The 23961-nt window shown below is 37.8% G+C and overlaps 1 protein-coding gene and 2 long non-coding RNA genes across 17 annotated transcripts in view, besides 2 other annotated features; 2 read left to right on the top strand and 1 right to left on the bottom strand.

The window, feature by feature from the left end:
- Positions 1-4384, top strand: part of VEPH1 (ventricular zone expressed PH domain containing 1) — a 243864-nt gene extending 239480 nt beyond the window's left edge. For all 15 annotated transcript variants that reach the window (XM_047448927.1, XM_047448922.1, XM_024453748.2 and 12 more), the window contains one exon: positions 2756-4384. In XM_047448927.1, coding sequence (XP_047304883.1) covers positions 2756-2992 — 237 coding nt within the window. In that variant the 3' untranslated portion in view covers positions 2993-4384. The remainder of the gene's footprint in view (positions 1-2755) is intronic.
- The window catches only part of LOC101928236 (uncharacterized), a 220247-nt gene that overhangs the window by 129821 nt on the left and 66465 nt on the right, over positions 1-23961 (bottom strand). The window lies entirely within an intron of this gene.
- Positions 7858-8389: an enhancer, noted in NCBI's record as "NANOG hESC enhancer chr3:156973526-156974057 (GRCh37/hg19 assembly coordinates)". NCBI's record gives its function as "activates a minimal SCP1, AML or CMV promoter by ChIP-STARR-seq in naive H9 embryonic stem cells {active_cell/tissue: H9 hESC(naive)}" and the evidence as "EXISTENCE:reporter gene assay evidence [ECO:0000049][PMID:30033119]".
- Positions 11028-16960: an enhancer, noted in NCBI's record as "VISTA enhancer hs2571". NCBI's record gives its function as "enhancer in: midbrain (mesencephalon)[4/5] | heart[4/5]" and the evidence as "EXISTENCE:transgenic organism evidence [ECO:0001131][PMID:17130149]".
- LOC105374179 (uncharacterized) lies at positions 13076-23315 on the top strand. Its single transcript, XR_007096142.1, has 3 exons — positions 13076-13517; positions 15105-15195; positions 21902-23315. It is a non-coding gene; the product is annotated as an uncharacterized LOC105374179 (long non-coding RNA).

Raw genomic sequence — 23961 nt, 5'->3', positions numbered from 1 at the left:
TGTTATTCTATCCAGGTCCCCAATAGATTGCATGATGCCCACCCACAATGGGGAGCATGGATCTTCTTCACTCAGTCCACTAATTCAAATGCCAGCCTCTTCCAGAAACACCTCACAGACACATGCGGAAATAATGCTTTCCCAGCTGTCTGGGTACCCATTAGCCCAGTCAAGTTGACACATAAATTAACCATCACATAAACCAAACTGTCTGAATTAATTAATGAAAAGTGGTAAATTAGTTAAAAATTATAATTCATTCTCGGCCATATGCACTATATCTTTAGAGTACTCATTATAAAATGTATTTGAACATTTTAATCAGTATGAATCAAGTATCGTGTATTCTGACCAGTGCTCTTTTAATTAATAAGACTTCTGTTAACTTTTTGAATGAAAAAGAATATTTTTTGTGATACCTACTGTGTAGTCATGCTACTTTCTTCATCTGTGTGTGTTATAACATATACAGATGGACTTTTCTGTAGCTGAACATCTTTTTGAAAGGGCAGTTCAATTTAGACAGCTATTGGAAACTTAAAGAAATTTTTTTAGCATAGGTTCACACTAAAGCATGTTTAAAGTGTTTAAAATGACTACCTGAATTTTCTGTTTTTATTCAAGAAATCAAGAATAGAAATGAAGACGTAGTAATTTTCCAGATCCCTTAAGACAAAGCAGAGTTAATCTATGAGAATGTTTTTCTGAACTCAAATAATGACCTTTATACTTTCTGATTCATGGCTTTTTTAATAAGGTTTAAAGAAAAAGCAATTTTATAATTAGGTAACTTGTTTGACATGTTTATCAGGAAATAATGGTCTGACATTCCATAACTCTGACAAAACTTGCGGCTCAAATAGTGGGAAATAATTTAATATAGCATGAAGGCCACAGCAAAATACCTCTAATCTCCAGGGAAACAATAACCTACCAGTGGTCAACAATCCTGCTGAAGCTTCAGGTCCTTGTAAAAGGGCCCCTTTTAAATGAAAGAAATGTGCATTTTAAAATTAGAGCTGAGGTTGAAAGACTCTAGTGGAAGACTCTAATCTTTCACTTTTGCATTTTTAAGACCTTGATCTCCACAAACTAGCTAGGCAATAGTGTCCTTTGACTTTCTATCTATTCCTGTCTCAGTTGATTCACTGTCCATCTTTAAATTACTATGGTAACTTTTTATTTTCGTATCAATCTCTGTACTATAGACTACTTCAAAGAAATGCAATTTTATTACTGTCAGATACTTACTGTAAACCAAATTAGGCTAACAAAGTATTGTCTAGTGTGTATGTCTTCAAACTTTATCCTGTGTACCCTAAAAGAATTTTGAAAAATCTATGTAATACCTTGCAGCATTTTAAGTTGCAGCAACACTTTTATCATAAGTTTAAACATTTGCCCGGACTGTAATTTCTGTTGAATTGTAAATATTGACATTTTAAAACAAAAGGATTACATCTCTCCATTAAATGTAACCATTGGATTAAAATACCATAGCAGTTTAACACCTAACACTATTTTTAATACATAAATTAACTCTTTTTTAAATAGAAGTGTTCACATTGTTTCTCTTTTTTTTTTTAAATCATGTTTCTGTTCTACCTCTATCACAGCATTTTATCCTGAATGGCATTTCATTTTTCACTGAGTAAAACTATATGTATAAATTGAAATTTAATTGTTTAAATTCCTTGTGACCATCCGTCTCCAAGTGTTATTTTTTCTGATTTAGTTATCTTTTTAAAAAGTTATATCCTTCATGAAAATCCATAAGTATAATGCCAAGCTTAATAATTATTAAACATTAAAAATTGAAATATTATTGAAAATGTATCTCATAATGAAATAGATGAGGAGTGATTACATTGCCTTGGCTGATGGATACTTCCCTGATGTCAATAGTTGGAATTGCTTTTTTGTTTGGTGCTTCTGAGATTTGTTTACATTGGACAAAACATCATAGAAAGTATGGGATGAGTGAAGAGGATGCTTTTTCATTGCAAAGTGAAAGGAGGGTGATTGCAACAGGAGAGGTGGGCAAGGAGAATTGGCAAGATTCTCAACCACAGGTACTTTCTCTAGTAGACAAAATGTATTCATGTGAAAGACCTGAAATTACTTCAAAGAAATATCTGGCCCCTTAAAATTATTCATCTTAGCCCAGTGTGATGACTTTGGTATTGTAGAGGTCCTTAAATTTTTGCTTTAATAAAAGGCAAATGTAACATCATTAAATATTTCTTCTCTTACTGTTTGTAGACAAAGCATGCTTCCAAAGCTGCAGAGAGTTTCAAAAACAGTTTGGTCTATGCAAACACTGGAAGCCTCTCTATTCAATTAAGGTTTGGCAAAATCTTTCTCAGAGGTAGCACAAAGGAAAATTCAATTTCATGCCTCCCAAACTACCTGAAGTTATAAGTTAATAGCACTCCAAATTGTACCGTTGCACCTTGCTCTATTAATATAACGTTAATAGAAAATGAAAGAACTCTGAATTTTTCCCAAATCCCACTTTATAATAATATCCTTTAAATTAATTATCTTGTGTCAACTTATGATACTCTAACAAAGGCCCAATTGCTCACTCCTTCAGTTATTCTAATGATTCTGAGGCCTTAGCACCCAAAATAACAAAGGTCTTGAGACATAAAAAGTGAAAGGATTCTGGCCCTCTTAGAAAGTTCTCCAGTAGCCAGAGATCCTTGCCTACAGTAACAGCCAGCCCATGTTCTTTTCTTCCCATGCCTTTCAGAAAGATGACCCTGACGACTGCCCAATAGAACTCAGCAAAGTACAGAGTGTGAAGGCTGTGGCCAAGAAACGCAGGGACCGCTCTCTCCCCCGGGCTTTCGAAATCTTCACAGACAATAAAACCTATGTCTTTAAGGCCAAGGATGAGAAGAATGCAGAAGAATGGCTCCAGTGCATCAACGTGGCAGTTGCCCAAGCCAAAGAAAGGGAAAGTAGAGAAGTAACCACATATCTGTAGGGATTTATAAGTCAGCCATGACAATTATACACCACAGGCATTGTATTATCATTGCCAATGTCAAGAAAAAGAGCTAAATTTACCAAGCCATGTTGTTTTTTACTAAATACCAATGGAATTGTTGTCCTTTAAGAAGAAGGGCCTAAAATGGCAGGATTCTTAGTAAATGTCATACTCTAACAGCTTTAGTATTGACTTCAGAATATATCTGATGCCCACAAAAATAAAATAAAATAAAAGGAGCTACAGAGTATGCCCTCAGATAGTGTGGGGCCAGGAAGGGAAAAGTCACTGATAAAAGAACTTCTGTAGATATGTCATTTAAAACTGTGAGAAAACAACATGAAAAGATGCCTGAACTCTCCATCCTGAGGAAAGATTAGCACTTCTGATGAAAATCACAGTCTGTCAAAGGTATTAAAAGAAAACTTTAAAAAAAAAAACCTTTAGAAACGTTGAACTAATGTACACTGAGAAAAACCATATAACTTACTTATAGACATATAATTACATGATCCTCTCTTACTACAACTGAGGCTAACACATGGTAAAATGGTTCCCAAATCAAGCCAGTTATGTCATTAAATACTTGTCTTTCAGAATTACTTATTTAATTATTCCATTTAAGTTCATATAATATAATCTACAGTTTAGATACTTGGACATATATCCTGCCCAAGGCACTAAGTGTAATATAGGAAAAGGATAGAAAGCCATTTTCTCTATCTTCAAAATAATGTGCCATCTCCGTTAAAATTAAGACTTTAAAGTTCTATAATTTTTTCTTTGTATTCAACTTTTTAATACCTCCAAATTACAAACATCTATTTTTTTCACTACATAGATATATAATTACACTATGATAGACAGAATTCTAGAGTGATTCTCAATAATCCATGCCTTGGTATAATCCTCTCCCCCATTGAGTGTGGGTGGGACATGTAACCTGCTTCTAACCAACAGAATATGGCAAAAGTGATGGGATCATCTCTCCCATATTATGTTATGTTATATAACAAAAGTGAAGAGAAGTTGCAGATATACATAAGGTTTCTAATCAGCTGACTTTGAGTTAATCAAAGAGATCCCCTGGGTGGGCCTGACCTAATCAGACTAGTCCTTTAAAAGAGAGTGAACCAGTCAGAGACTCTCTCTCCTATTAGCCTTAAATAAGCAAGCTGCCATGAGCTCTACGGCTGCAAGGAAATAAGTTTTGTGAACAACCATGTGATCTTGGAAGAAGCATCTGAACCTCAGATAAAAGCCCAGCCCCAGCCAACGCCTTGCTTGCAGCTTTGTGAAACTCTGAGCAGAGGACCCAGCTAAATCACGTTTGGACTCCTGACCCACAGAAACTTTCAGATAATAAATGTATGCTGTTTTAAATCTAAATTGTGGTGATTTGTTATGCAGTGTTAACTAATACAAAAGCTAAGTTGGGCTACATACAAGGGATAACTTTTTCCTTGAAATTTATTGATTATGTAGTCTAGTATAGAAACCTGGAGAAAGATTATGAATGGTCAACACCTTGACCCTCCTGCTAACTTACTAGGATAGGAAATATAAAAGGGGCCATGTTTGCGAAAGGAAACAATTCCATTTTAACAAGTAAAGTTTGAGGGTATTGTGAGTCACAGAATTTATTACACATTGGAAATAGAGTTCTGGAGGTCAAAATTCAGGATCACTGGATATATAGGTAGTCACCAAAGATGCAAAATTAGATGAAATTACCCAGAGAGAATAAGAAGACAAAAGAATTAATAAGGGTTCCTTGAGACACCAGCATTTAAGTAAAGGCAGCTGGTGTATCTGATTAGTGTTGAGAGATTATGTAGACCAGGAGAAACAATGTCACAAAAGCCAAATTAATAAGGATTTTTCAGGAAAAACAGGGCAACAATTTGAAATCCTGAAGAGTAATCACTTAAGATAAAGCCTGACTTCCACAATCAGGAAGCAATTGGTGTCATTGGGAAGAACAATTCCATTTGAGTGAGGGAGTAAACATCAAATTTTAGTAGGCTGAAGTGTCAATGGGAGGTTTGGACTTTAAAGCAATAATTGGACTATTCTTTCAACAAAATGGGGCTACGATGAAGGGGCTAAGATGGAGCAAGTGTTTTCTTGCTCTTTTTAAGATGAGTAAGAATTAAGGGAAAGATGAAGGAGTTAAAAATACAGAAAGAAAGAGGAAAAAAATGACTTTGCTTGAGTAAAGTTTCCAGAAGTGATAGGAAGGGATTAAAACTCCTTTATTCTGCAGCAATTAACTGAGCAGGTGCTAAGCAACAGTTGCCATGCTTGGCCTGGAGATACAAAGATAAAAGACACAGTTTTTCTCTTCAAGAAGTTTAAAGTTTAGTGGAAGAGACATATACGTACAACAGAAATATAAGTGCTACGCAGCAAGTGCCTTGATGAAGGTATGCACAGGGTCCTGTGGAAACACAAGAGAAGACACCATTGTAAGTGACTTTAAACTCAGAGTGGACTCCCTCACTGCTTCCCAGAGGTGATAGAAAATGAGCTAGTCTTAAAGAACTAGTAGGATTGCTGTGGACAAACAAGGAGCAAATGGTCAGTAGGGTGAACCACGCTACAAATGCAAAAGAGGGAGAAGGAACATGGTCCATTTGCAAAACGTAAGCTTTTCCCTAGGGTTGAAACATAAGGGGTGTATGGAAAATGGTTCAGAGTCATGCTGAAAAGGCCTGCAGGACCACAGGATTTAGGACTTGGTTCCATGCCAAGGGTCTAAACTTTTTCCTTAACATGATGAGGCATTAATTTGTGTGGCAGCAATAAAGATAAAAAAGAAAAAAAAATCACAAATAAGATGATGAAGCACCATTAAAAGGTTTTAAGCAGATTTGCATTTAGAAAGGTAATCTTAATAGTGGTATAGAGAATGGATTATAAGAATATCAAAAATTGTAGCAGGGAGACCATTTGGGAGGTTCTTCTAAGGTAGTGAGGACCTGGACTGATGTAGTACCAAAGGAAATAGAGATAAATGAACAGGCAGGAAAAATACTGATTTAGTTAAATGGACAGAACACTGGCGGATTGGATGGAGTTGGAGTATGGGAATGGAAAGGAAAGAGTTTCTGCTGATCCCTAGGTGCTTGCTTGGGAAACTTGGTAGATGATGATAATGATGATATTCACTGAAATAGAAAATTCAGAAGCAGCATTTTGAGAGATAAGCAGATGGTAAATTTAATTTTGATGTATACATTCAGGGAACAGATAGGGGACTAACCTTGCAGACAGACAACTCCTGTGAAGTTGGGCACGAAAAGGATGAGAATGAGTATAGTTGTAAATGATTCTCTAAATATTCTTTTAAAACTTACCGCCCCATACTTAAGAGTCAGTGAATAACTCTAGCTGTTTTAGTCAATTAGGAACAATTGGTAACAGACAAACACTGACAAAGTATTAGGTGACCTTGCATTAGCTATTAAAAATTTGAATGCCAACAGTGTGCTTAAACCTTTCACAGCAGAGAGCTCGTGGTAAAACAGTGGTTATGCTGAATGTTTGGCCTCAGAAAGAAGAGAATGGCCCCCTCAGCTCAATTTGTGGGGAAAGAATTATTTTTACTACTTGCTACAAAGTCCTTGTGATTTAATTAACTGGATGCCTCTAATCTACAACATAATTCTCAGTGCCTTTGAGCCAGATCTTAAAAAAAGTAAATGTGTGAAGTGTAAATAATGAACTTTTTGGTTTCATTCCATGATGCAATAATTCCAATGCAAGTAAATTCTCCTGGGTTCAGAATCACACTAGGAATCTCAGAATCATCAGCTTCCCGCGAATATTTCTGGCACTTCCACCCTGGTTGCTGGTGAGTTTACCACAGACCGGCCTTTCCCAAAAGGGCTGCCATTTCTTCCCGATCTAAGAAGAAACCACTTTCCTAAACATGCTTAAACCTTTAAAAATGTTGGTATGAATAAAATTATAATCATGGACCGAAATTGAAGTGGCTTTCATTTTAATTTAATTTTTATTCTTTTTCCCTCCCAGATAGCATTGGAAATATAAATGTTTATGTATGAGAAGCTTATCTAGCTACTTCTTGAGAACCTGGAGTTTGGTAAAAACAAATGTTCAATACTTTTCTAATACTGAGCTTTCTAGAAAATCCTTAGCTGGTGATGTCAAGGGGCATTTACTGGGTCATCTCCAACTCACCTACTTTCCATAGGTACCCACAGACCTGTTTGTGGTGATGACTTATTCTCAGACATAAATAAGGATTACATGTTTAAGGAAGCATTACCCACTTTAGGAAACAATTGTGAGATAAGGTGAGAGAATGTGAGCTGAATTCAAAGTGCATTGCAGACAAATAAATACCATGGTTTAAATGCCCTAATAAGGATTTCCAGTTCCCAAAATCTAAATTTTTAGAAGAGAAACCAAGAAAAAAACAAACTGTCATCTTGTTTCAGAATAGCACCAGAGTATAGATCCTTTGGAACAAATCCTTCCCAAAGATGCTCCTGAAAGACAAAGGGGTTGGAAAATCCAGAAGACGTCTACCAAGGTAGGGAAAGGGGCACAGGCTCTGGGCACGTGAAGAGTCAATCCCTCACTCTATCAAAACTAGATTACCAACCTGAGACAGTTATTCATCCTTCATCCCTGGTTTGGGGATAATATTATCCACAGAGTGGAATTGATGTGAGACACACATGTCGTGCAAAAGCACAAAACCTATAACCTTAACCAGCAGAGAACCTTTAACATAATAGGTGCTTGAAAAAGACACTCCAGTTTTTATGTACCATTAAGTAACTATGATACCATGTCTTAATGATAATTACATGTTGATGTCTTCCTTTTTAGGCAAAACATTCAGTGGTTGCTTTGCAAGACCATATGGAACTGTGGTCACTTCAATGTTGGCTCTTTCGTTCACTAATATCACACTTCATTCCACTCCTCTGCTTCTGTGCTTTTCTGTGTACATGATAACTTTTTGTTTCAAAGTCAAACCAAATTGTAACCTGTTTAAGACATAGTAAACAGCAATTAGCCCGTGTGCTGTCAACTATCCACATATCTGAATGGATGTGACAACACAAAGAGCTAAGATAGTATTTGCACATCAATAGGCAACAACAGAAACCCCATCACAGCCATTCCCACTGCATAGTGATTGTAAAACATGTACTAATTTCAGAGATATTTAAATGTGGGGGAAGAAAATGTAAAGCAGTTAGCAGAAGGAAGTATTAAGAGTTCCACACAGGTTTGTTTCACAGTAATCAAAACTGTATGTTAACATTTTTGTGAACAGTAGAGCATATTGCAAATGTAACAAATTTTAAAACATAATGATTAAAATGCCCCCAGTGCGCCCATCCTCAAAGGTGTGAGGTCAGCTTTGCCTATAGTTGCTTACCCTCTCTTTTGACAGGACTAAGGATGGCTGATGTCCACATACAAGCCATGTTTATGGTCTCTATATCCCCCTGCCTGTGCTCTCCTTTGTCCAAGTTTCCTTTCCTGAAAGGGAAGCTGGGTAAAGAATGGGCCAAGATAGCAGAGATGGAGGCAGGGGTGCACACGGTGTGTCTTTTTATTTTTTCACTTTCATTTTAAGTTCAGGGGTACAAGTACAGGTTCATTACATAGGTAAACTTGTGTCATCGGGGATTTGTAGTATAGATTATTTCATCATCCAGGTATTAAGCCTAGTACCCACTGGTTATTTTTCCTGATCCTCTCCTTCCTTCCACCCTCAACTCCCCGAAAGGCCCCAGTGTGTGTTGTTCCCCTCTATGTGTCCATGTCTTCTTATCATTTAGCTCCCACTTATAAAAGAGAACATGCAGTATTTGGTTTTCTGTTCCTGCAAAGCACATGATCTTGTTCCTTTTTGTGGCTGCATGATATTCCATGAACCACATTTTCTTTATCCAGTCTATCATTGCCCAAATGATGGGCATTTAGATTGATTCCATGACTTTGCTATTGTGAATAGTGCTGCAATGAACATACATGTGCATGCATCTTTGTAATAGAATGATTTATATTCCTCTGGGTATATACCCAGTAATGGGATTGCTGGGTCAAATGGTATTTCTGCCTCTAAGTCTTTGAGGAGTCATTGCACTGTCTTCCACAATGGTTGAACTAATTTACATTCCCATCAACAGTGTAAAAGTGTGCCTTTTTCTCCACAACCTCACCAGCATCTGTTGTTTTTTGACTTTTTAATAATAGCCACTCTGACTGGCGTGAGATGGTATCTCATTGTGGTTTTGAATTGCATTTCTCTAATGATCAATGATACTGAGCTTTATTTCATGAGTGTTGGCCACATGTATGTCTTCTTTTGAGAAGTGTCTGTTTATGTCCTTTACCCACTTTTTTATGAGGTTGTTTGTTTTTTGCTTGTAAATTTGTTTAAGTTCCTTATAGATGCTGGATATTAGACCTTTGTTGGGTGCGTAGTTTGCAAAAATTTTCTCCCATTCAGTAGGTTGTCTGTTTACTCTGTTGTTAGTTTCTTTTCCCATGCAGAAGCTCTTTAGTATAATTAGATCCCATTTGTCAATTTTTGATTTTGTTGCAATTGCTTTTAGCATCTTCATCATGAAATCTTTGCCTGTGCCTATGTCCTAAATGATAGTGCCTAGAAAACCCCATAGTCTCATCCCAATAGATTCTTAAGCTGACAAACACCTTCAGCAAAGTATCAGGATACAAAATCAATGTGCAAAAATTACTAGCATTCAACAGTCAAGCCAAGAGCCAAATCAGGAACAAACTCCCATTCACAATTGCCACAAAAAGAATAAAATACCTAGGAATACAGCTAGCTAGGGAGATAAAAGATCTCTACAAGGAGAGCTACAAACCACTGTTCAAAGAAACCAGAAATGACACAAACAAATGGAAAAACATTCCATGCTCATGGATAGGAAAAATCAATATCATGAAAATGGCCATACTGCCCAAAGCAATTTGTAGATTCAATGCTATTCCTATTAAACTGCTGCTGACATTCTCGCAACTAAAGAAAACTATTTTAAAATTCATATGTAACCAAAAAAGATTTTAAATAGCCAAGGCAATCCTAAGCAAAAAGAACAAAGCTGGCAGCATCATGCTACCTGACTTCAAACTATACTACAGGGATACAGTAACCAAAACAGTATGATAGTTGTACAAAAACAGACACATAGACCAACAGAGCCAAATAGAGAACCCAGAAATAAGACCGCACGCCTACAACTATCTGATCTTCAACTAACCTGACAAAAACAAGCAATGGACAAAGGATTCCCTATTCAATAAATTGTGCTGGGATAACTGGCTAGCCACATGCAGAAAATTGAAACTGGACCCCTTCCTTACCCCATATACAACAATTAACCAAAGATGGATTAAAGATTTAAATATAAAACCCAAAACCATAAAAATATGATATGTCTTTTACCCACTATCACAGATTGGGGACCCTAGAGGTGAACTTAGAATGGTGTCTGAGGAGGAATTCCAGATCAAGTAGGAGGAGCATTTTCAGATGACACCTTCAAAGTCAACCATACCAAAGACAGGAGTAGAAAGGCAAGGCCTAGAGTCAAGTCGGAAGTTGGAGAAGCAGGGAAGAGCAGAGAAAGGCACAGAGCAGAGTGAGTGGAATGGGCAGAGGGTTGCACGAACTTCAGAAGAGCAAGACCACCCTTATGGCTTGATTTTTACAGGTACTTGCCTAGGCGAAGTGGCGGCGGGGGGGCGGGGGGTTCTGTTAAATGTTCTTTGATGAAACAGGTACACCTCCTCATAAATGTCCTTCTAGTCCCTGGTTATGCAAGGCCCTATAGCCACGTGCTAAGCACAACAGGCAACCAGCTCTGATGATAACCTTAGCTCCCGGGTCCCGCCATGAGAACCCCAGCCTTGGCAGAGGACATTCCACAAGAACATTCTTCTCATGCCCCTTGCCCCTGCACCCCAGTACTATTGAATTTGTCTGCTTCAAAGAAAAACTTTCTGAGAGCAGGGGGGATGGAAATCTTTGAACTTTCTATAAAATGATAATCAGATGCATTGTGTTTACATAGCTTATTTATGACTTTATGGACAAATCTTTGAAAATCTTACATCAAATTTAAAAATGCATTTTTTCTGTCTTTCAAGCAATAAAAGGATTAGAATTCATTTTGGTACTGAGAATCTAGAAGAGTTATAAAATTTTCAAATAATGTAAAAATGTAAAGTATTCAAACACATGGTAGGCTAATGCATGCCTAGGAATAACAGTGCTCCATGAGACCACACTGGAAATTAAGGGGGAGTGGGTGCTAATAAAAGTAAATTCTAATTTTTCCATTTTTGAATTATTCTAGAATTATTCTTTGCCTTGTTTTATTTTTAACTACCATTTCACTAACATTAAGTAGAATATCTATAAGACACACACACACATATATATAAACACACATTTACTATCACACAGGTATTATGACAACAGAACTATTGTTTTCACATGTGCTTTGTAGAAATCAATCCTATTACTTCATTATCTTATATTCTATTTATATCTGTCCTCTCTCTCTCTCTCTCTCTCTCTCTCTCTCTCTCTCTCTCTCTCTCTCTCTCCCTCTCCCCCTCTCCTCTCTCTCTCTCTCTGCTGGCACTTCATGTAATCAGAAGAAACTCTTATGTGTGTTCCACTATTCTTAACGGAGATCCACTTCTATACACCAGATTTCCTTTGGGAGTGTTCTGTTCCCTCTTAATTCAGAGCTATTGCTATATGAGGAAATAGTCTAAATGTCATTTCTCTTAAGAGAGAGAAACAATGATTCTGTTTGCCAAACTAGCTCATAAACACAAAAATCAGAAGGTCCATTTTTAAAATTTAGCCAAAACCACAGTTTGGCAATGCCTGTTTTGGAAAATTAACCATAATACTAAGGGTATGTGTTGATTTGAGAACATTTTCATCACGACTCCCCCAAACTCTTCATGGAGGGATATCATGTAATTTTCCACATAAACAACTCTTACCTATATATTCATGTTTTTGTTATCACTATAATACTGTCATCTCCAGAAATCCTGCAGTTGTACCATCCTCAGGTAAATACAAATCAAATTCCACTGTAGCCAATAGTGTCACAGTAAGGTTCCAATGTAACGAAGCCACTAGCAGAATGTGAGGCAGCCAAATAAACTAGGCCAAGTTCTTCTAAGCAAGGAGATTTGGCATTTATCATTCAGTTAACAGTATCACAGGCTATTGGAGTTGGAAGAATCTTAACACTTGCCAGGCCAAACCTCTCCACCCCATGGAGAAGTCCCTTTCTTGTCATCATTGGCAGGTGGCATTCCCAACCGCGCAAACCCTTCTAGGGATAGAGAACTCATTAATTTATCATCAGTTCACATCTTTTTAAAATAAATTTTTTCTGTTTATGAAAACGTTTATTGCAGAAAATACCAAAAACTACTAAAATTATAAAAATTATTCATAATCGTCTGATCATTCAGAACCCAACAATATAGAAATGTTCAAATATAATTCCCATTAGGTTATTCATACCATATAATTATTTTCTGAAAAATTCTGCCGTTCCATCATTTCTAACCTTTAGTCCAGGTTCTCCCTCCTGCAGCCAGACATAATGTCTGCTCCCTCTTCCCCAAGACAACCTTTTACATAGTTTGATTCAAACATTCATTCAACAAATACTTATTAGCCAGGCATGGTGGCACATGCCTGTAGTCCTAGCTACTCAGGAGGCTGAGGTAGGAAGATCACTTCAGCCCAGTAGTTCAAGGATATAGTGCAGTATGATTGTGCCTGTGAATAACCACTGCACTCCAGCCTGGGCAACATAGCAAGAGAAAGAAGGAAGGAAAGAAGGAAGGAAGGAAGGGAGGGAGGGAGGGAGGGAGGGACGGAGGGAAGGGAAGAAAGGAGAAAAAGAGAGAGAAAGAAAGAGAGAAGGAAAGAAAGAAAGGAAAGGAAAGAAAGAGAAAGAAAAGAAAGAAGGAAAGAAGAAAGGAAAGAAAGAAAGAAAGAAGAGAAAGAAAGAGAAAGAAAGAAAGAAGAAAGAAAGAGAGAGAAGGAAGGAAGGAAGGAAAGGAGAGACCATTTACTGAGCATCCAACATATACTAGGGCATGGGGACTCAAAAATGATAAATAAATTGTCCATGCCTTTAACAAACTCAGTAAATAAATGTTATGATCTGAATGTTTGTGACCCCCCTTCCCAAATTTATATGTTAAAACCATTAGGTAGTAGTATATGTCAATACCAATGTGGTGGTATTAAGAAGTGGGGCCTCTAGGAGGTGATTAGATAATGAGGGTTCTGCCCTCATGAATGGGATTAGTGCCCTTATAAAAGAGGCCAAAAGGAGCTTGTTTGTCCTTCCCAACGTGAAGACACAGCTAGAAGGCGCCAGCTCTGAGGAACAAGCCCTCACCAGACAGCAAATCTACCAGCACCCTGATGTTGGACTTCTCGGCCTCCAGAACTGTGAGAAATAAATTTCTGTTGTTTATAAGTTACCCAATCTAAGACAGTTTGTTATTGCAGCCCAAATGGACCAACACAATAAGTATATTTTATTTAATAAGTAAATCCATACATAAAACATCTCCTATGTGCAGGACCTGTGCTGGGCATTAGAAATGCTGAGGTGACCAAGATGTCTCAAACTTTGTGGGATACGTATCCTAGTAGAAGAGAAAAATGTTAAAGTATTATCTTAATTATGAAATTGCCATGCGACCTATCCTACAAAGAAGCACAACTGATATGAGATTGTGAAAGGAGAGGTCTGATCTAATTAGGAAGTTAGGGACAGCTTCCTGGACAAAGAGACATATGCCTGAGATCTGAAAGATGAACAGGAAATTACTAGTCAAAGGGAGAGGTAGAAGAAAAGCAGACCAGGAAGAACTGAATGTGAGAAGACCTTGGAGAGAAAAGGCATGTAGCACATTAGAGGAACCAAAACAGGCTAGTGTGGTGGATGAGAGTGGTGAGGCTGGGAGGTGGGCAAGTCATGAAGGCTGTGGGAGAGCTACTGTTGGGTTTAAAACAGGGATGGTATGATTAGATCTGCAATTCCGTAAGATGGTTCTACCTGCTGTGTAGAGAATGGTTTGCTGAGAAAGCAATAATAGAAACTGAGAGAAAAATAGAAGGCTATTACAATAGTCCAGGTGAGAGGTATAACGAAAGCTTGAAAGAAAGTAGCAGCACTGGAAATGGAGAGAAATAGAGGGTTAGAGAGAGACTTTAGAAATGCAAATTGCAGGACTTGGTGATTGACGGGAATTGTCTCCAGAATCCCGGCACCCGTGGGTTGGCGGTAGCTCCATTCATGATAAAAGGAGCATTCAAAAGGGATCAGGTTTGAGGGACATCTTGCCCATGAAAGAAACAGATGTGTGGAGATCACAACACTGTGATGTGGGGGCATGATGGAGACAGAGGAGGGGGCTGCTGGCTCTGCCTGGGGAGTCAACTAAACCTCCACTGAAGAGTTGATGATATGCTGGATGTTGAAGGAAGAATATAATTTTCTTATATTTTAGACCTCGCCTTTCACACTCTCACAGTCAAAAAAGAGAAATGACATATGCCAAGACTCAGGATCACACTTAAGATGAGACAACATAAATGGGCAAGGATGAGAACAAGAGTCACTTAACTTTAATTACTTATTTTATTGGTGTTTTTGTTCCAAATTCTTGTAGAAATATATACTAGATTTTTTAAAGTAAGTATGGTGGGCACTGATGCATCACCAACATCCCTCACTGAAGGACCTGGTGCCCCAGCTGCTGGGACTGCTGTTGGCAGACAGCCTTCAGCTGCCATTCCCCTCAAGGACTGCCTCCTGGCCAAGGTCATGCCTGGGGCACCTGACATCTAGTGAACAGTTAATGGGAGAGTGTAAAGACCTGGACATTCAGGCCCAAGTTGAGACAACTCTGAGGGACCATTCTACCTGCAGAGCTCTCCACATGGTCAGTTGAGACTATCACTGGGGCGACACTGAAGCTCAGTTTCTCCACCTGCCCCTTACTGATTCCTCTCCACTCCCTTCTGCAGGTGTTGGTCCCCAAGGTGCTCCTTAATAGGCATCCTGCGCCTTAAACACTGCCTCAGAGTCTGCTTCCCAGGAAGTCCAAACAGATTGAGAGTAAGTAAAGACATAAAGGCAAAAGGAAAACAAAGTGGGAAGAAGAATAGTCACTGGGATAAGGTAAGTAGATGAAACTCGATCCCAGCAAAAGACAGCGTTCAGAGTTGACACCATGCTTTCATGCAGCCAGTTAAGGGAGGCATTCAATCAGATTCATGAGTCAGAGTTTCCCCAGGCTAAAAATAAACCAGTTGCCCAGAGGAAGAAAAGCTCTCTCAACAATGAGACCCAAGAATTTTTTTCCTATCGGCCTTACAAAGAGAACACTGTAATATAGTAACAACAGCTTCAATATCTCTCCATAAGTGCAACAGCATGTTTCAGAAGGATATGTAAGGGTGCAAACCCTAGTTACAAATTCAAACATACAAATAATATAATTTTCTTTATTTCCTTATGTTTTAATTAATTTATTGCTTGAGTGCTGGATCCCATTTCACTTGAGAGCAAAAAAAGCAGTGTTCATTGATTCAGGATAAACTCAGTCAAACTCAGAATATTCTCCATTTATTCAGGTTTTTTCTAGTTTCTCTTCTCAACAAGTATTCTTCCAAATGTATTATTTATGCCACAAGATTCATAATCTAGTTCTTCAGAGTTATGAATTTTTTTATTTTTTTATTTTATTTCGTTTTATTTTTAGAGAGACGGGGTCTTACTCTGTTGCCCAGGCTGGAGTGAAGTGGCACAATTCTAACTAACTGCAGCCTCAAACTTCTGGCCTCAAGCAACCCTCCCACCTTGGCCTCCCAAAGTGCTGGGATTACAAATGTAAGCCACCATGCCCAGCCAGAGTTATGAATTTTTTAACCTCGAAATTTTGACTTCCATTAGCCAGACACAATGGCACTTGCCTATAGTTCCAGCTACTCAGGAGGCTGAGGCGGGAAGATCACTTTAGCCCAGGAATTTGAGGTTGCAGTAAGCAATGACTGTACCACTGCACCATAGCCTGGGTGACAGAACAGAACCCTGTCTCTAAAAATAAAAGTCAAAAAATTTTAATCCTGACCTTTGAGACTTAATCTTACTTTTCTCAAAGTATTAACAGGTAAGTTTCAGAATAGATTTTTGAAACTTACAGTTTACTGTTACTTCTGATTTCTTTTCAACATCCTTTTTCTGAGGCAATGGATGCCTTCTGCCTAATTTGAAGGGGTAGAAAGGCCAGGGGATGGGCCAAAGGGCACTGCAGAAGACTAAACTAATAACAAGGAACTAAAAAAAAAAACATGGGTTAACAGACTGATTGTTATAAACAAACTGATTGTTACAATGTTTCAAAATAACATTCCTCAGGAAAACCACTAGTACAATGCTAGTACATAGAAAAAAATAAAAGTGACTGGGGTGGGTGCTCAGAACCATGTGGCCCAAACAGACAGCGTGCAGTAAGTCACAATGGAGTCAGGAATATATTTTAATGTGGAGGAATGGACAGACTGTTCAACTTTCAAACAAGGCTTATCCAAGTGGAATCAGGATTCTCTATTATTTATTTATATATTTCCAAATGCAGGATATCAGTTTCAGAAAAACAGGAAGTTAGGGAGGTAGTGAAGGTTTTGCCTCTGTTGTTTAACCAAAAGCTGCTGTGAAAAATGTGATGTCCCCCAAAATGAAAAAGTCATTATGAAAATTATGTCTATTTTGTTCTCTGCCACCATTAACTAAGCTGAAGTCCAGCCAGTTTGTTTTAAATTTCAAACCACTAGAAAGGACAGGCTCGGGGGAAATACGTGGAAGTTCAGAGGTTTCTGGGTTCTAGTGACAGGAGCAGAGCAAAGTAAGGCCACTTCAGATACAAAGTTTAAGAGGGCAAAGAGCCTCCTGAAGATGAAACTAAATAGCATGGCCAGTCGCCATGGCTCATGCCTATAATCCCAGAACTTTGGGAGGCCAAGGCGGGTGGATCACCTGAGGTCAGGAGTTTGAGACCACCCTGGCCAACATGGCAAAACCCCTTCTCTACTAAAATACAAAAATTAGCCGGGTGTGGTCGTGGGCACCTGTAATCCCAGCTACTCGGGAGGCTGAGGCAGAAGAATTGCTTGAACCCAGGAGGTAGAGGTTGCAGTGAGCCGAGATCATGCCACTTGATCACTCCAGCCTGGGCAACAGAGTGAGACTTTGTCTCAAAAATAATAAATAAATAAAATAGCAGATGCACACAGAGCTCTGTCGGCAGAGAAAGCTGAAAATATCCAGAGGCTAAATTGATGATCTGGAACACTGTGGAGGCACAACACAATAATCTCAGACCTACAACCTTGAGAGGGGTATTGAGAGATGCTTTCTGTAATTGAGAATGGATGCCTTGGGAGCATCATTTCATTTAAACAGTGAGTTTTAGTAGGCATTGCACGTAACGAAAATGAAGAGACCTTTATAGCAGAATTTGTGTGTGTGTGTGTGTGTGTGTGTGTGTGTGTGTGTGTGTTATTAAGGAGAATTACATCATTACTGTGAAGTTATTCACTGACTTTATATCTACATGCCAAAGTTTCAATACTAATAGTTTATCTATATGACTGCTTAAATTCACAAGCAAGTATTTGAAAGAATATGATTATAGACAGGCTGCTGTTTATTACAAAATTCTTCAGAATAGAAAGAGCTATAGAAAATAACATAATAAACCCCTTACAACCACCCCTCAGCCTATGAAATAAAGCAGTACATGTGCATCTGAAGCCCTCTATGTATCTCCTCCACAAATGTAATTCCTTCCCTATCTCACACAGGTAACTACCATCCTGAATTTGTTAATTATTATTCTAATATATTTCTATACACACTTACCACCCATTTTTATGCTTTAAAAATACATAGTATGTTTTGCATATATTTAAACTTCACGTAGTGTCATACAGCATGAATCGTTCTGTTTTCACATCTCATGTTTGCATCTAGGTCTAACTGATTTTCAGTGCTGTATATAATTCCTTTGTATCATTCCATTGTTTTTAGGTATTCGGATTCAGGTTCAAATATCATTCAATTTTTTATCCACTTTCTAGGGGATGATTATTTCTAATCTTTGCAATGGCAAAAAAAAAAAAATGTTGCTATGGAAATACTGGTTCTTTGTGTGCAAAGTCAAATGGTTATTTGGTCAGCAATTCTCAAAGTATGGTCCACAGACCCCTCATGGGCCCAAGACTCTTTCAAGCAAATCATGAGGTCAAAACCATTTTCATGAGAAGAAGAAAATAATACCATTTATCTTTTTCACCGTGTTAACATTTGCACTGATGCTGCTGGCACCTTAGCAGGAATCAAGGCAGCAGCATCCAGCAATACTAGTAATCATTGTATTCTTCACCACCATGCACTTGTGGTTTTAAAAAAAATCACTGAAGAATATTAATTTTACTAAATTTCAACTGTTACATAGTCATCTATTTAATATTTTTTATATTAAAATAAGAAGTCAGCACAAAGTACTCTGTTACATGCCAAAGTGCAATGGTCATCTCAAGAAAAAGCATTTGTGTGATTGAGTTGTGAGATTAACTACTACTTTTTTCACTAAACATTATTTTTAGGAGGATGATTGAGACTATGATTATTAAACTCTTGGGGTTTGGCAGACATTTTCTCAAAAGTGAATGATGTGAGCCTGCTACTCCAAAGAAAGCTGACTGTATTGTTGTTGATGATAAAATTTGAGCTTTCAAAAAAATTAGAAATTTTGAAAACTTGAATCCAACCCTGGATTTTTATATCTTACAGCTTCTCAATATTTCATGATTTCTCTAATGATAAGGGTGGTGATTTTTGACATTGTATAATGTATCAACATTTTGAAAATCTATGTAATTCAGTAAACCAATAATTTCCAAATGACCAATGCAAAATGTTACAAAATTATGCATGGGTAAAAAATCCACTCACGGTATAATATAAACTATGCATTTTAATTTAACAGAGTATGAAAAATTCATTGATATGGTTTCAAATTAACATTTAAGAAACTACCACTTGTTAGTTTTGGGTAGAGTATCAAAGAAGAATTGCCACAACTATCTGAAAAGGCCATTAAAATTCTCCTCTCTTTTCCAAATCAATATTTGTGTGTATCTTTATTTTCTTTATGGACTTCAATCAAAACAGTATACCACAATAGACTGAATGTAGAAACAGAATCCAGCTGTCTTGTATTAAGCCAAGCACAGTTACAGAAATGTAACATAATGCCACTCTTCTCACTAAAATTTTTGTTTTGGAAAATATAATGAGTTTATAAAAATACATCACTCATGTTAATATGTAATCAGTTTCTTACTGCCTTTTAAATGACTTAATGAATGTATTTTTAATTTCTCAATTTTATTTTCTAATATGGTAAATATCAATAGAAACAACTCACATAACCAAAAGCTCTTTGGTATCCTCAAAAATGTTTTAAAGTTTAAAAGGCTCCTGGGACCAAAGAGTCTCAGAACTGCTGACTTAGGGTATACACGAGAGTAGAATTGCTAGATCATAATTTACCTTTACCAAGTATTTACCAAGTTATTCTCTAAAATGATTCTATCAATTTAAACTCTCACTTGCAGTGTATCGAAATGCCCATTGTTTACATTGTTGTCAGCATTTTGAACTTGGTTCAGACTTAATTTTTTTTATATCTGATAGGTGCCAAAGTGGCATTGTTTTAATCTGTATTCCTCTGATTACTGCTACTTTCCCCTTTCCATGTATTTATTGACTCTACAAATTTTCTCTCCTTTGAAATTCCTCTTTATATTTTTTTTGCACATTCTTCTTTTAAGTTGTTTCTTTTTTCACATCAATTTTTAAGGGGCTCTTTACATTTTCCAGGCATGTCTCCCTTAGTTGGTTTCTCTTCTTTTTTTTTTTTTTTTTTTTTTGGAGACAGGATCACACTCTGTCCCCCAGGCTGGAGTGCAGTGGCGCAATCACGACTAACTGCAGCCTGCAGCCTCGACCTCCCAAGGCTCAGGTGATCCTCCTCCCTCAGCCCCTGAGTGGCTGGAACCATAGGCACACGTGCACACATGACTAATTTTTGTATTTTTAGTAGAGATGGGGTTTCTCCATGTTGCCCAGGCTGGTCTCAAACTCCTAGGCTCAAACGATCCACCCACCTTAGTCTCCCAAAGTGCTGGGATTACAGGTGTGAGCCACTGCACCAGACAAGTTTCTATTCTTTGTTTTACTTTTTACTTTGTAATTTTTTTGAAGGGTATAGTTTACATACAATATAATTTCATATTACATATGTTCAGTTCATGAGTTTTGACAATTGTAAAAGCCAAAGATATCAATACCCAAAACAAAATATAGAATATTACACTCATCTCAGAAAGTTCCTCATGCCCCTCCACAGAGGCAATCAACATAGATTAGACTGGCATATTCTGTAAGGTTACATAAATGAGGCTGGGCACGGTGGCTCATGCCTGTAATCCCAGCACTTTGGGAGGCCGAGGCAGGTGGATCACCTGAGGTCAGGAGTTTGAGACCAGCCTGGCCAAAGTAAAACTCCATCTCAAAATTAAAAAAATAAAAAAAATACATAAATGGAATTATATAGTATGTAATTTTTTGTGTTTGGCTTCTTTCTCTTAACTTAATGTTTTTGAGATTCATCCATGTGGTTATGTATATTAGTAATTTATTCTTTTTTACTGCTGAGTACAATTCCATTGTATGAATATACCAAAATCTCTTTATCCATTCTCCAGCAGATAGACATTTTAATTATTTCTGGTATTTGGCTATTGCTAGTAAGGTGACTATAAACATTATTGTACAAATTCCTTTGTGACATATTTTCAGTTCTTTTGGGTAAAATACCTAGGAATTGAATGAAATACCTTCTACACGTCTTACCTTCCATATGTTTTATCCTATCTTTCATATTTTCACCTTTTCATCTCTTTGTACTACATTCTACAGAATCTCCTTAGATTTGTTACCCAATTCACTCATTCCTTCTCCAACTGTGTCCTGCTGTTTGTCCCATACACTGAGTTTTCATTTCAATGGTTATATTTTCATTTCTAGAATTTTTACTTGGTTCCTTTTTTTAATATTTCAGGTACTTTTAATAGTATCTTATTCCTTTCTCTTATTGTTTAATCCATATTTTACCGTTTTAATTACTTAAAATATCTTACATTTAATATGTTCATTTTCTGAACTTTTGGGGAGCACTAATCACATTGCGCTTTTTTTTTTTTTTTTTTTTTTGAGATGGAATATCACTCTGTCGCCCAGGCTGGGTGCAATGGCATGTTCTTGGCTCACTGCAACTTACATCTCCTAAGTTCAAGTGATTCTCTTGCCTCGGCCTCCCAAGTAGCTGGGGCTACAGGCATGTATCACCACGTCTGACTAATTTTTGCATTTTTAGTAGAGATGGGGTTTCACCATGTTGGCCAGGCTTGTCTTGAACTCCTGACCTCAAGTGACCCACCCACCTCAGCCTCCCAAAGTGCTAGGATTACAGACATCAGCTACTGCGCCCAGCCACATTTGCTCCTTATTAGTTTTAATTTCTTACTCTTAGTAGCTTATTTTTTCATGTGTTCATAATTTTGGTTTGTAAGTTCATGTTGGTGAGGTTTATCTATAAGATTTATGCTGTGAGAGCTATTTTGATAATATATATTACATACAATTATTTTATATAATTTTTTTTGTAAATTAACTGCCCTCCATCCCATTCTAGATCTGAGGATGAAGAATGAAGCTCGGAGCCTTGCAGCGGGAAGAACTTTATCTGAACAAGAGGCAGAATTTCCCAGTGGTCCCCTCTTTCTGGAAGCCTTGTCCCTGGTGGGCAGGGGAAGAAGGACAGTGGGGAGATCAAACTGTCACTTTTACAGTGCTAGGGCCCAGGTTAATTACTGACCCCCCTCTCTGAGCCCTAGGGCTCTGCCCTAACCTGGATCCCCTGAGGATCCCAAGAGAGTTCTTTGTGGAGAGGATGAGGCCAGGTATCTGGCCCTTTCAGAAGAAGAGGGGGCACTCGCTATGCTTGAACTATGGCTTAAGAAGCCCTCAAGCACCCCATCACTCCCTTTTTCCCCATCAACAACATGGGATCACCACACCCTAGACTTCACTGGGCTGCCTCAGGGCAAGAAGCAACCAACTAATTTTATGGAGAATCTTGGGAGAGGGCATGGCCAGGAGCCCTTGGTGAGTCCGCATGGCTGCCAGGAAAGGATTTTTTTTTTTTTTAATTGTTCTGCCAGATGGCGGACGTGCTATCAAACTGGAACAATTTCATGTTAATATCTTGACTTGGAGTTTCTGACCACTCAGATTGTATAAATTAAACCTCAAAGCTGTGTATGGGCAGAATCTGAATTCTTTTCTACCCAGAGGCCAGGGGAAACAGACAACTTTGCTTGACATTTCCCTTTGCCTGAGCATCTTTTTTCTGGCAGCATAGCCTTTTGAGGGCCCTAGCCATTATGCAGAGCCTTGATTCTGCCTCCCCACCTTGCATAGGCCAAGGCCTTGCCTATTGTACTAGCATGTCAGAAACCCAAACCTCTTGATCGCCAAGATCACCAAATACCCTCAAACAGGATTGGGGACTAGTATAAGCATCATCTCACCACTTCTGGTGTATGAGAGTTTCTTCTGTTTCCTTTGAGCTCAATATTTTAAAGACTATGTATTATATTTAATTCATCATTTCTAGGTGTTTTGTATTGAGAGGTTTTTCAGGGTATCTAGTTTGTTATGATGACAAAACTAACAGTCCACAAGCTATTACTTTCCTCCCACCAAAATCATCAATGAGTAATAGCCACTTTTCAGTCATTCTCCAAGTCGGAGCCAATTTCTTCATAGTTAGGACAGGTATACTATCCAATTAATAGACAAACATACCCTGCAGAGAAATCTTCCTCATATCTGAAACGTTCCTGCCAAATCCTTTCACTTTATCAGGTTCTAAGAGTTCCTGGATTACTCAAAAAGTTTATCAATGTGAGCTTCCTGTGAGACATTCTAGGAAGTTTAATTGGGAACAGAAAAATATGGAGCCATTTGAAATGATCCAAGTGGGACTCAGGTGGGTTCCATAGTGTTTGCGTGTTAGAACACACTTGATTAAAGCTTCTACTCCATGTTTGTTTTGTCTTGTTTTCAATTAAAGAAGCAGATGAGTCAAAAAAAATTAAAACCTAGACTTGCTCAAAAACACAAAACTTTCTTGGTGAATCTCACTTTTAGGTAGGATTCTGAAAAGAAAATATTGTTGGTTTGGAGAAATTGCAACTAGTTGTTCTTGCTGGTTTAGCAACATATTGTTGTACTAAGGAAGAAGATGGTGCAATTTCCCTGTAATCTTCAGCCCCCATATGAAGTGCTTTCTTTCCTAATTATTGTTTGAAAATCAAAACGTCTGTGTTAAAGGCCATTTACTTACTGAATGGCAAATAGGAGAACAAGCATAAACTGGTCAGAGAAAATGGCTTTTTAAATCCTCAGCCATTTACACAGGGCCAGAGAAAAAGATCAAGCTTCTCATGGCACAAAAAAACCATGACCATAGTTACCTCCTGATATTAAGTAAAATCCCTATAATGACTAAATATTCAGAGTTAGGCATGAAGAATATTTCGGAGTAGGAGAATAAATGGGAAGGAAAAGGATAATGCCCTAAAAGTGAGTCACTGACTACCAAAATATTGTGCTATGGTCTGAACGTTTCTCCTAAAATTCATATGTTGAAATTTAATTGCCAATGTAATAGTGTCATGAGGTGGGGCA

This window comes from Homo sapiens, chromosome 3 (genome assembly GCF_000001405.40).
Source record: "Homo sapiens chromosome 3, GRCh38.p14 Primary Assembly".
Lineage (NCBI taxonomy): Eukaryota > Metazoa > Chordata > Mammalia > Primates > Hominidae > Homo > Homo sapiens.
Note: the sequence above shows the minus strand (reverse complement) of the source record. Positions and strands in the feature narration are given on the sequence as shown.